The 13,312-nt window shown below is 49.5% G+C and overlaps 2 long non-coding RNA genes and 1 pseudogene across 2 annotated transcripts in view; 2 read left to right on the top strand and 1 right to left on the bottom strand.

Annotated features, from left to right (window-relative positions):
* LOC101928306 (uncharacterized) overlaps positions 1-6,223 on the bottom strand; it is a 67,864-nt gene extending 61,641 nt beyond the window's left edge. The window contains exon 1 of the long non-coding RNA NR_125893.1: positions 5,871-6,223. This is a non-coding gene — a long non-coding RNA (uncharacterized LOC101928306). The remainder of the gene's footprint in view (positions 1-5,870) is intronic.
* LOC107986218 (uncharacterized) lies at positions 3,658-4,879 on the top strand. Its single transcript, XR_001741497.2, has 2 exons — positions 3,658-4,352; positions 4,566-4,879. It is a non-coding gene; the product is annotated as an uncharacterized LOC107986218 (long non-coding RNA).
* RN7SKP113 (RN7SK pseudogene 113) lies at positions 5,967-6,203 on the top strand (annotated as a pseudogene).

Below are 13,312 nucleotides of genomic sequence, written 5' to 3'. Positions count from 1 at the left end.
TGCATTGATCCCTTTACCATTATGTAATGCCCTTCTTTGTCTTTTTTGATCTTTGTTGGTATAAAGTCTATTTTATCAGAGACTAGAATTGCAAGCTCTGTTTTTTTTTCTTTCCATTTGCTTGGTAAATATTCCTGCATCCCTTTATTTTGAGCCTATATATGTCTCTGCATGTGAGATGGGTCTCCTGAATACAGCACACCAATGGGTCTTGACTCTTTATCCAATTTGCCAGTTTGTATCTCTTAATTGGGACATTTAGCCTGTTTACATTTAAAGTTGTCGAGACCAGCTCAGTCATGGAGAACCTAACCCAGTGGCACTAGAGGAATTAAAGACACACACACAGAAATATAGTGTGTGGAGTGGGAAATCAGGGGACTGACAGCCTTCACAACTGAGAGCCCTGAACAGAGATTTACCCACATATTAGTTGACAGCAAGCCAGTGATAAGCATTGTTTCTATAGATCATAGATTAACTAAAAATATTCCTTACGGGAAACAAACAGATAGGCCGAAATAAAGGAATGGGCTCTGGCTAGTTATCTGCAGCAGGACCATGTCCTTAAGGCACAGACCACTCACGCTGTTGTTTGTGGCTTAGGAATGCCTTTGAGCAGTTTTCCACCCTGGGTGGGCCAGTTGTTCCTTGCTGTCATTCTGGTAAACCCACAACCTTCAGCATGGGCATGATGGCCATCATGAACATGTCACAGTGCTGCAGAGATTTTGTTTATGGCCAGTTTTGGGGCCAGTTTATGGCCAGATTTGGGGGCCTATCCCCAGCAAATGTTAATATTGTTATGTGTGAATTTGATCCTGTCATTATGATGTTAGTTGGTTATTTTTCCCATTAGTTGATGGAGTTTCTTCATAGTGTCGATGGTCTTTACAATTTGGTATGTTTTTGCAGTGGCTGGTACCAGTTTTTCCTTTCCATATTTAGTGCTTCCTTCAGGAGCTTCTTTAAGGCAGGCCTGATGGTGACAAAATTCTTCAGCATTTGCTTGTCTGTAAAGGATTTTATTTCTGTTTCATTTATGAAGCTTAGTTTGGCTGGATATGAAACTCTAGGTTGAAAATTGTTTTCTTTAAGAATGTTGAATATTCAAGCTCACTCTCTTCTGGCTTGTAAGGTTTCTGCAGAGAGATCTGCTGTTAGTGTATGGGCTTCCCTTTGTGGATAACTTGACCTTTCTCTCTGGCTGCCCTTAACACTTTTTTCTTCATTTCAACCTTGGTGAATCTAATGATTATCTGTCTTGGGGTTGCTCTTCTCGAGGAGTATCTTGGAGAGCTCCAGATGGCATCTGGCAGGTGCCCTTCTGGATGAAGCTTCCAGAGGAAGGAACAGGCAGCAATCTTTGCTGCTCTACAGCCTCCACTGGTGATACCCAGGCAAACAGGGTCTAGAGTGGACCTCCAGCAAACTTCAGCAGATTTGCAGCAGAGAGGCCTGACTGTTAGAGGGAAAACTAACAAACAGAAAGGAATAGCATCAACATCAACAAAAAGGATGTCTGCATGAAAACCCCATTCGAAGGTCACCAACATCAAAGACCAAAGGTAGATAAACCCATGAAGATGATGAAAAACCTGCATAAAAAGGCTGAAAATTCCGAAAACCAGACACTTCTTCTTCTCCAAAGGATTACAACTCCTTGCAAGCAAGGGAACAAAACTGGATGGAGAATGAGTTTGATGAATTGACAGAAGTAGGCTTCAGAAGGTGGACAATAACAAGCTCCTCTGAGCTAAAGGAGCATGTTTTAACCCAATGCAAGAAAGCCAAGAACCTTGAAAAAAGGTTAGCGGAATTGCTAACTAGAATAAGCAGTTTAGAGAAGAACATAAATGACCTGATGGAGCCGAAAAACAGCATGAGAACTTTGTGAAGAATTCACAGGTATCAATAGCTGAATTGATTAAGTGGAAGAAAGGATATCAGATATTGAAGATCAACTTAATGAAATTAAGTATGGAGACAAGATTAGAGAAAAAAGAATGAAAAGGAATGAACAAAGCCTCCAAGAAACATGGGACTATATGAAAATACCAAACCTACATTTTATTGGTGTACCTGAAAGTGGCTGGGAGAATGGAACCAAGTTGGAAAACACTCTTCAGTATATTATCCAGGAGAACTTCCCCAACCTAGTCTTTTATTCTCTTAAAGAAGGAGACACACGGATATTGACCGTGTGAGAAGGTGAGCTTATCCTGGAGGTAAACCTGTGCTCTAGTTCCTCTCCTGAGGAAAATTTTAGAGAAGGCACTATGGATGGGGGCCATGACTGACTGACACCAACCAAGACCCCAGCCCTGGAGCTGGGCTGGAGTCAGCCTCCCTTGAAGCCCATGGCTACGAGGAGAAAGGTTGATGCTGAAAAAAACTCTGGGTTCACTTGGAATGGAGGAAGTTGGGCCATAGCTAATAATAATAATAAGTGAGTTCTCTGGAGCTGGTCACATGCCAGGCACTGTTCTAAGCATCACCCTCACAGCAACCGAGTTGGCACAGCAGGTGCCATCAGCTCTTGGCCCATGCCCCTCTGCCTACCCTAGAGTTCCCAAACATAGCCTTGGCTTCCTGCATCTCTGTGGCTGAGGGTGTTCTCTGGTCACAGGGGTGTGCTTGGTCCACACACCTGGTGTGTGGGGGGGGGGGTTCTGAGGCACTAACACCCTAAGAGCAACCCATAGATAATGGATAAACACCCAGGTTCCTCACCCCACAGTGGGGCAGCTCTGAGGTGTGCTCCATGTACCCCTGAAGAGGCTCCTGGGGGATCAAGCCCGGTTGCCCTTGGTGAAGACCTGCCCATCTTCCCACTAGAATGAATTTACCTCCCTTTCTGCCTCACTTCTCTTTCCTGACCCCTGACTTCTGGGTCATCACCAAATAAATTACTTCAATCAAATCTATGTATTGGGGTCTGCTTTGGGTGAATGCAATCTAATTATTGGGCAACACTATTATTGTCCCTCTTTGATGGATGGGGTAGCCAGGTTTGGGGGTGTAGTAGTCTGTTTTCACACTGCTATAAAGAACTGCTCGAGACTGGATAATTTATAAAGGAAAGAGGTTTAATTGACTCACAGTTCCATATGGCTGGGGAGGCCACAGGAAACTTACAATCATGGCGGAAGGCAAAGGGGAAGCAGGCACCTTCTTCACAAGGCAGCAGTAGAGAGAAGAGCAAAGGGGGAACTTCCAAACGCTTATAAAACCATCAGATCCTGTGAGAACTCACTCACTATCAGGAGAACAGCATGGGAGAAACTGCCCCCATGATCCAATCACCCCCCTCCCTCGACAAGTGGGGATTACAATTTGAGATAAGATTTGGGTGGAGACACAGAGCCAAACCATATCAGATTTTAGGATCCACCCCAATTGTGGCAGTGATGGGTGGTGGAGCTGGAAGCCAGGTCTGACTCCCACTCCTGTGCTCCTCCCATTCTGCCACATGGGAAAGTCTGCCCCACTTCAACCATTCCTGTCCTCAGCAACATGACTTGACTGGAGGACTTGTCACAGCAGGGTACTGTCATCATCATTGATAAGTAACCATGACAAGCAAGAATCACCCCAGCACATGACTCAATAATGCCTCACAGATCATAAAGCCCCTTCCCACCCACTGTTTCCTCTGAGCCTCACAGCACCCTATGAGATGGGCAGGGGAATTTCTTTCCTGCCATTCTGCCTATGGGGACACAGAGACCTTGGAATGTCAAGTGACTTCTCTGAGGCTACACGGCTAGGAGGTGGCAAAAGCAGGAAGGAACTGGAGCTAATGTCTGCATCTACATCATGATTGGCCCAAGACACTAGCACCCTCAACCCCCAAGCTTTCTATGTGGTATTGGCAAGACAGCTCACTGCTGGAGAAACCAATCCTGGAGGAAATTCTGCCATGAACAGGGAGCCTCACTCCCTCAACAGTGATGAATGACTTTCATAAACATGAATAGTTTCTGAGAAGGTGTCCTCTTGCCTGGGGTCCTACTTCAGATGGCCAAGTCAGAAGGACATAATCCCACTGCTGGGAAATCCAGGCCAGGTCAGACTCCATAACATGCTTTAAAATGTGAGAGCCCCAGTCTGCTAGCATGGTCTCAGAGATGGAGGGAGCCACAGCCTCTGAGTAGATCCTGACCCAGCATTCCATGGCAGTATCCTTTGGAAAGAAACTTTCACCAAACCTGATGGGAACCTCTCCTCAAGGACTGCTAAGTCAGGAAATGGGGTATGCAGGGTCTGGAAGTTGGAAGCTGGCCGCATCCCCCAAATGAGCAGGTCCAAGACACTTATTCATACATCAGGAAAACCAGGGTCCAGAGATGGTGAGTGACTCAAACAAGGTCCATCCCTTCATGAACTAGAGGAAGCCATGGCTCAGAACCACAAGCCCCAGCTCTCTGCCCACTTCCTTTTCCTCTTCACCATTTTACATTTGATAGGAAATTTGTTATTTCTCATGTTTGAGCCCGCTTTGTCTCCACAGCCCTCATCCTCCCTATGAGCATGATAGAAAAAAATTATTCTCTATTTCCTAGGAGAGAAATCCAAGGCTTGGAGCCACTTGGATGGTCACCCAGGGCCATCAGCATCTACTAGCCAGGAGGAGGCTGGGACATTCGGGAGGCAATGGAGAGAAGGAAATAGAAGGAAGAGGGCTGGGGCTCCCAGCAGTCTAATTACAGGGTCCCAAGGCCCAGCAGTCTTTCAGGGAGAAAAATCGGTCGGACTTGGACAAATCAGCTGCACAGTGTTAACCTTCCAGAGACTGAACTCTCTCCCCATTTCCAGGAATCTAATCTTTGATGTATCTTTGAATAACTTTAAAAAAAATAAATCCTGAATAATCTTAGATGATTGTAAGGATCTGGGTATATCACCACCTCTCCCCACATCCCCTGCTTGCCTCACTTCCACACCTCCCTGCAGATGTACTTGCAATAGGGGACTCAAAGCGGAAAGCTGTCAAAGGATTTCATTAACTGAAATATGACGGTAACTTCTCAGGTCTTTCTGGTCATTGTGGCTCACACCTGTAATCCCAGCACTTGGGAGGCCAAGGTGGGTGTATCACCTGAGGTCAGGAGTTCGAGACCAGCCTGGGCAACATGATGAAATCCCGTCTCTACTAAAAATACATGGTGGTGCATGCCTGTATTCACAGCTATCTGGGAGGCTGAGGCAGGATAATCACCTGAACCCAGAACACTGAGGCTGCAGTGAGCTAAAATCCCACCATTGCACTCTAGCCTGGGCAACAAGAGCAAAACTCCATCTCAAAAAAAAAAAACAATTTCTCAGGTCTCTTCCCAATTCCATCTCTCTCTCCTACCACGTGACTACAGGGTAATTGGAGCATTCATAAAGCTCCTGAATGCACCCAAGGAGACCATGTTCAATGTTCTTGATAGTTTGAGGTTTTCAGCCGGCAACTGAGCAGGTTGGCTTTGGGTCTTCTCAGAGTCCTGGGGTCCTCAAATAGAAAGCAAGGCCTGACAAGGTCTGGGACAAAGATTGGGGGTGTGGGAGAACATGGAAGCTTTGCTCTCCTAATTGCCAAGCCAGCGTTTTCCGCACCTCCTGTTAGTCCTTCATTTAGTTTTACAAAAAGTGTGGGAGGATGCCCCCACAAGCTTGCCCCAGTGGCTGTCTGCTGTGCAGGAGCTCCTAAGTGGGAGGAAATTGGAAGTGAGCACAGAGCAATGGGGTGGGCCACTGTGGGGTGCAGATGTCCACCTCTCCATGGGGCACAGAGGAAGACACAGCTGAGTCCACCTGGGTGGGGAGGTGAGGTTAGGAAGGTTACACAGAGGAGGTGAGTTGAGCTGAGGACTGTCACTTACCTGTGTGGATGGAAGACCACAATCTCATCCTGCCATCTCCTGCCACAAGAAAAAGTGCCAGGTGAAGAAGATGGGGAAAGGTGTTCAAGGCTAGGGGGATGTGAGGGTGATCTGGCTGTGACATCTGTCACCCCATTGATCGCCAAAGTTGATTCGGCTGATCTGGCTGGCTAGGCAGGTGTCCCCTTCCTCCCTCACCACTCCATATGCGTCCTTCCCAAAGCTGCACTCACGACAATCCCCGATAGAGGAGGACTGGTCTTCAGCCAAGGGTATATGAGTAGCTTTGCACCCCTGCTAGGGCCTCCAAACAAGCTCTCAAGGTGTTGAAGGCTGAGGGAATCTAGTGAGCAAAGACAAAGAGGCACATGCTTGTTGGGGCATAGAATGTTCTAGAGTGCTAGAAATTGGAACATTCTAGGGCTCTAGAGCTTAAAATATTAAGAAAAGCTTGGTGAGGGAGGAGACAAAGAGGATGGGAAAAAGCAGGTGGACCCTCAAGAGAACGTGGATGCCCGCCAACTGTAGCTGGTGTGAATGTGTGAATGGGGTGGCAGACGGGGAAGGGTGGGGGAGAAGAAAGGGACACAGGAGAGACTGAGGCACCCAGGATGGCCAAGGTGTGTGGGGCAGCTGGTATGTACCAGCACTGTTCTGGGTATTCTCTATATACACTCTCACCCAGTCCTCCCAGGGTCCCCCAATGTCCCCTTTAATAGATGGGGACCCTGGGGCATGGGGAAGATCATGAATGCACCCAGGATGCCACGGCTCAGAGCTGACAACTGAGCTAAAGAGGGGCCAGATGCCCTGCAGGCTGTCACCTCAGGCCCACCCTGCCCTTCAGCCCGGCCCAGTTTTGACCCAGCCCAGAATGAACACGCTCCTTACTTGCTTCCCAAACTCTCATCAACATCTGACAACAACAACAGCAAGAGGAGGGCCCAGAGGATCTGCTGCATGCTGCGGGCGTCGCCAAGTTCTTAATGTTACCCAGCTGTGCAGAGGTTGGCCGGGGGCCTGGCCTGGGCAACCAGCGGCGCCATGATTCACATGGACTGAACAGTACCGAGTGAGTCACTGGCGTCCCACAGCCAAGCCAGCCACTGGACTGTGAGCTGCATGTGGGCACAGAGCGTGCTCTCTGGATGCCTGGCCTGCAGTGGGTTCTTGGTGCTATTGTTGCTGGGCTCCCTCAGCCTGTTCTATTGCATCTGCTTACTTTGACCACTGGGCCTTTCTGCCCTCCAAGAGCTTCCCACTCTGGGTGTGCTTGGTGTGTCCTCTCTGGACAGCTCTGAGTGGCAAGTGGCAGGCACAACTGTATCCAGGAACTCAAGGTTGCTTCCAAGGAAGTGAAGTCAGGCAAAGCCACCCAGGAAGTTGGATCCTCAAGATAATTTGTTTACCCAGAACTCTGGGACACCAGGGCCTAGCTAATGAAGCCATCCTCTTTAGTAAGATGGGCTCCAAGGTAACCAGGTAAAGGGAACCTAGCCCCCACCTCCCTACCCCCACACACCCGACAGCCTCTCCTTTACTGCACTAGCCTGCTGGCCCCTGGGATGTTTTGCACATCACTTAAAGTGGGGCTCCAGTTGCCTTTCCCGGGGTTCCCGTCTGCACAGGGAGGCAGGGAGAGATGCACCAGGGGAGAAAAGAGGAAAATAATCCCAGTCCAGGCACTAAACCAAGATGGCCCCTGCTCAGCCAAAAAGAGCCACTCTGCAGATCCGCGCTCCAGGGCATGGACCTATCATGGCCCAGCCCTCAGTCCCTGGCTCTGCAGCCTGCTGGGCTCAGAGGCCTAAGGAAGCCTGAGGAGGTCCTGGGGCATTGAGACCCCAAGAATAGCTCAGAATGGTGAAGCTGGCACTTGCACTGACTGTTACAGGGTAATAGGAGTTTGCTTTTGTGGGGGTGGGGGCGGGGGTGTGGGGAGGGCATATGCAGAGGCTGGTGGGTAGGCAGCAGCGACCATTCTGTTGGGCAGGTAAGGACAGAGGGCATCTAGACTCTGGGACAGGGTGGAAGCTCAGTAGCCTTAGGCACAGGGCGATACCGTGTACAGTTTCAGCAGCAAGGCATGAAGGTCTTCTGCAGCATGGGCCACCAGGCAGGAAGAAGCCCAACTAGGTGGGCCAAGGAGAGGGAGGTGTGATATGGCTGCAGACCCAGATCCCAGGGAGTGCCTAGAGAGAGCCCTTTGTGCAATCCCTGCCCTCTTCCTCCTTGTCTGGTAGCAGCCCCCGTCTCTCTGCTCACAGAGGTGCGTGTGAGACCTCCTGGCTGCCTGGTGCCTCATCTCTTAGACCACAGTCTTGGGCCCAAGGGGGAGCTCGTACCCCAGGGGAGTCAACCTCATCCTTCCAGAGGATTTTCCAGGGGGGAGCAGGAGACAGAAGACCCTTTCCTCTTGAGTCAGATGTCGCTCCAGGGGCATGTCTCCCCAGTTAACTGTAGCAGAAGAAAACTAAGCCATAGTGTGCAAACAGAAGCAGGTACTCTTGTGGAGAAAATGTCACTCTGTTTCCGGCTGAGCTGGCTTTTCTGCAACGTCCAGGCTCCTTTTCCATCTTTGAGGACTTGAGCCAATAGACGTTCCTCCTGGACTTAAGCTGGTTACATTTGGCTTCTGACATCTGCAACTGAAGACACCCAACAACTCACCAAGATCCCGCCCTTGAAGGATGTGACATTGTTGTCCTCCCCAGGCCACACCCAATGTCTGGTGCCATGTTTGTTGTTTGTTTTTCTGCCCTCTAACCCCTAGATTGTAAACTTAGAAGGCAAAGCCTTACCCCCTGGGGTCCCAGGGCAAGTGTTTCTTGCATTATTAACTAATCTAGGTTTTGTGGCATATGTTAGCCCAGTCCAGCAGGGAGCATGACGTCAGGGGTTATACAAGGTAGCATCCCCCAGAATCAATGGGGGTAGCAGCATCATAGTTTAGTTTGGAGTGGCCAGGGGGTGGGGCTGACAGCTCAGAGTGGGGGCAGCACCTGTGGGGACAGGTAAAGACGGGAGAGATGAGGGGCAGACACCCACCCCACAGGAGGCAAACAATATTTGGGCATTTATTTATTTAACAAATACTTTGGAGCACCTATGATATGCCAGACACTGTTCCATGCACAAAAGATACAGCACTGAACCTTAACAGGTTCAGTCCCCACCCCTGTAAAGTTTACATCATGTAGAGGGGAAGTGATATGGTTTGGCTCTGTGTTCCCACCCAAATCTCACCTTGAATTGTAATAATCCCCACATGTCAAAGGCGGGACCAGATGGAGATAATTGAACCGTGGAAGCAAATTTGCCCATGCTGTTCTCATGATAATGAGTGAGCTCTCACAAGATCTGATGGTTTTATAAGGGGCTTCCCCCTTTGCTTGGCACTCATTCTGTCTCCTGCTGTGCTGTAAAGAGGTACCTTCCACCATGATTATAAGTTTCCTGAGGCCTCCCAAGCCATGCGGAACTGCGAGTCAATTAAACCTCTTTTCTTTATAAACTACTCAGTTTTGGGCAGTTCTTTATGGCAGCATGAGAATGGACTAATACAGTATATTGGTACCAGGAGTGGGATGCTGCTATAAAGATACCTGAAAATGTGGAAGTGACTTTGGAACTGGGTAACAGGCAGAGGTTGGAACAGTTTGGAGAGCTCAGAAGAAGACAGGAAGATGAGGGAAAGTTTGAAACATCCTACAGACTTGTTGAATGGCTTTGACCAAAATGCTGATAGTGATATGGACAATAAAGTCCAAGCTGAGGTGGTCTCAGATGGAGATGAGGAACTTATTGGGAACTTCTTAGGTGCAAAGGTGACTCTTGTTATGCTTTAGCCTAGGGACTTGGTGCCCTGCCTCTCTGCAGCTCCAGCCATGGTGAAAAGAGGCCAAGGTACAGCTCAGGACATGGCTGCAGAGGGCGAAAGCCCCAAGCCTTGGCAGCTTCTATGTGGTGTTGAGCCTGCAGGTGCACAGAAGTCAAGAATTGAAGTTTGAGAACCTCCGCCTAGATTTCAGAGGATGTAGGGAAATGCCTCCATGTCCAGACAGAAGTCTGCTGCAGAAGTGGGGCTGTCATGGAGAACCTCTGCTAGGGTAGTGTGGAAGGGAAATGTGGGGTTGGAGCCTCCACACAGAGTCCCTGCTAAGGCACTGCCTAGTGGAGCTGTGAGAAGAGGACCACCATCCTCCAGACCCCAGAATGGTAGATTCACTGACAGTTTTCACCATGTGCCTGGAAAAGCCATAGGCACTCAGCGCCAGCTTGTGAAAACAGCCAGAAAGGAGGGCTGTACCCTGCAAAGCCACAGGGGCAGAACTGCCCAAGGCCATGGGAACCCACCTTTTGCATCAGCATGACCTAGATGTAAGACCTGGAATCAAAGGAGATAATTTTGGAAATTTAAGGTTTAATGATTGCCCTATTGGAGTTCACACTTGCATGGGGCCTGTAGCCCCTTTGTTTTGGCCAATTTCTCCAATTTGGAATGGGTGTATTTACCCAAAGCCTGTACCCCCATTGTACCTAGGAAGTAACCAACTTGCTTTTGATTTTACAGGCTCATAGGTGGAGGGGACTTGTCTCAGATGAGACTTTGGACTTGCACTTTTGGGTTATTGCTGGAATGAGTTAAGACTTTGGGGGACTGTTGGAAGGACATGATTGTGTTTTGAAATGCGAGGACATGAGATTTGGTAGGGGCCGGGGTGGAATGATATGGTTTGGCTCTGTGTCCCCACTCAAATCTCACCTTGAATTAAATAATCCTCATGTGTCAAGGGCAGGACTAGGTAGAGAAGACTGAATCATGGGAGTGGCTTTTCCCAGATCTCATGAGAACTCACTCACTATCATGAGAACAGGGAGACACAATGAAAACCAAGCAAGTTAACGTATCATGTGGCAAATGATGACAAAGGCTTTGAAGACAAATGGAACTGTGCAGGAGGTGGGTTTTACATAGTGGCTGAGGGCAGATCTGACTCTCCAGGGACTCCACAACCTGTGATATGGAATGAGCACTCTTCTTCTGCCCTCACTCTGTGGGAGTGGGCTTAAAAGATTTTAGCCCCTGTTCCACCTTGGAAATGAGGAAGACATGGGTTTTTGGAGCTGACAGGAGTGAGTCCAAGCCTTGGACAAGAAATGCAGGAAGGAGATCCCTGAATGAAGTTGCAGGGGCAGGTGCTGCCAGAGCAGGACAGACCCTGCCACTCCAGGAAGCAGAGTCCAGATTGGAGCTGGGATTATTGCTGCCTCAGTTGAGAATGTAGGCCATAGATGGGCAGGGGTGGTGGCATTAGAGGGCACCAAAGTGTGAGCCCAGCTTCTCTAAGAGTCTGGGTGTAGACTCCTGTGCCCTGTCATTCAGTGACCTGACCTGGGACTACCATGCAGCCAATCTAGAAAAATCCAAAGCTAAATTGGTGACCCCTCCTCACAACAAGTTGGACCCAGTTCCAGGGAGACTGCTGCAGTGAGCTCCTGACAAGACGACCTACATAGGGAGTCAAATCCCAGCTCAGCCCCAGCGCTGCCACCTGCCCCCCGACCCAGCAGCCCCCTTTGGAGCCCTCCTCCTTCATCTGGCGGGGCCATCCCAGAGCTCACAGGACACTGGCTGTGAGGGTACTGTGAGGTATGAAACACCAGGATAAATGGGAGGGATCATTGTTAAACCTGGAGCCCAGCCACCTGCAGATCTGCCCGTATGCTGGTGGCTTCCTCCTCCAGCTGCACGCCTGGGAGATGCTGACCCTGAAATGAAACCCAATCCTCTGACATGAACTCAGAAAAGGGTGGGCTCTGCAGGGGTCTGTGCCCCCATGGCACAGGCTGAAGAGTCCCAGATCCAGTTGGGACTGGGGGGAATCACAGCAGTAGGCAAAGCCCCCACAAGACAGCAACATACGCCTTGAAAGAACATTCAACTGGGGCTGCAGGAGAGAGGACCTGAGTGCCAGTCCTGGTGCTGGTGACCCTGGCGGAGTCACTCCTCCTCCCTGGCCCTGCTTTTCTACCTTCCCTCCAAGCACATGACCAACTCTGGGTCCCAGGCGGGAGTCATCAATGGACAAAAAGGGGTAGGGTTTGAGAGGACAGGGAGTGGGGCTGGCAAACACAGCAGCCCTAATCAGGGCAGTGGTTCAACTTCAGCCTCCCTCTGCCAAACGGAACACAGTTCCAGTGATAACAAATCTTCTCTCTTCCTCAAAAGAAGCCAGAAATACAGAATTTTATGTGATGGCTCCAACTTCTAAGTGTTGGCAATGAAGCCTGTTTTTTGTAGAAAATGCCATATGGTTCAAAGCAGGTGTATCCTTGGGATCTAATCCATAGGCTGCAGCACTCAGGGTCCCCTGCACCCTGCCTTCCAGGTGGGGTCAGCCAGTGAGGACACTGACAGGTGTTGGGGGTGGTGGGAGAGAAGGAGAGAGGGAGGGGATTTGCTTTCTGATGACCAAGTTGTAAACTTAAACCATTTCAGGGGCCAGACAAATCCCAGAAGCGGCTGGCAGCAGGGCAACCCCTGGTCCCTGCCATAGTTCTTACTGGCTGCCAATACCACTACTTCCTCCCTCATCTCTTCAGACCCAAAGGAGGTGATGACTTCCTGCGTTACCAGCACCGAGAGCCTCTACATCCCTTGCCAGCTTCCTTAACCCTGCCCACAGTTCTGTAAATGGTTCCTTCATTAAATTTTGCCTCTATGGGCCCTTTTGGGTGGGATTCTGCTTCCTACAAAACCTTGGCTACATACAATGTTATTTTTTGTTGTTGAAAACTCTTGCAGGTGCCCAGAGGAAGGAATGAATCATCTGGGTACAAATCCTGGCTTTTCTCTCATTGTTGGGTTGCATCATCTCCCTCTGCCTTGGATTACTCATCTGCAACCTTAGAGAGCCAACAGACAGGGTCAGTCATGATAATCCCACAAGCACCTAGCCAAGGGTGCTCAGCAAACTGGCTTGCCTGGAGCCTGAACTTAAACAACAGTAGGATTTGTAAAACAACGGCATTTTCTGGAAATGCATGGCCAGTGATCTTCAGACAGTGTGACTGCCCATTCCTGAACTTAAACAGTAGGATTTGTAAAACAATGGCATTTTCTGGAAATGCATGGCCAGTGATCTTCAGACAGTGTGACTGCCCATTCCTGAACAAGGCCTTGGTACTCTGTGCCCCTCCTCCTGCTCAGTCTGCACCACCCAGCCTGGAGACCCCTTCCATTTGATGGACAGGCTGGAGAGGCTGAGAGGCAGGAGTAGGGAAAGAACAGCACTGGTTTTCCTGATCCCCAGAGTCAAATCCCAGCATGGCCACCCTGTAGTGTAACAAGTCCCTTTCCCTCTCTGGGCTATTTCCACATCTACATAAGAGGAGTTTGCTCTGGAGCCTCCAGGGTTCCCAGCAGCTTCCCCATGCTA

This window comes from Homo sapiens, chromosome 4 (genome assembly GCF_000001405.40).
Source record: "Homo sapiens chromosome 4, GRCh38.p14 Primary Assembly".
NCBI lineage: Eukaryota > Metazoa > Chordata > Mammalia > Primates > Hominidae > Homo > Homo sapiens.
This window is presented reverse-complemented; position numbering and strand designations above follow the sequence as displayed.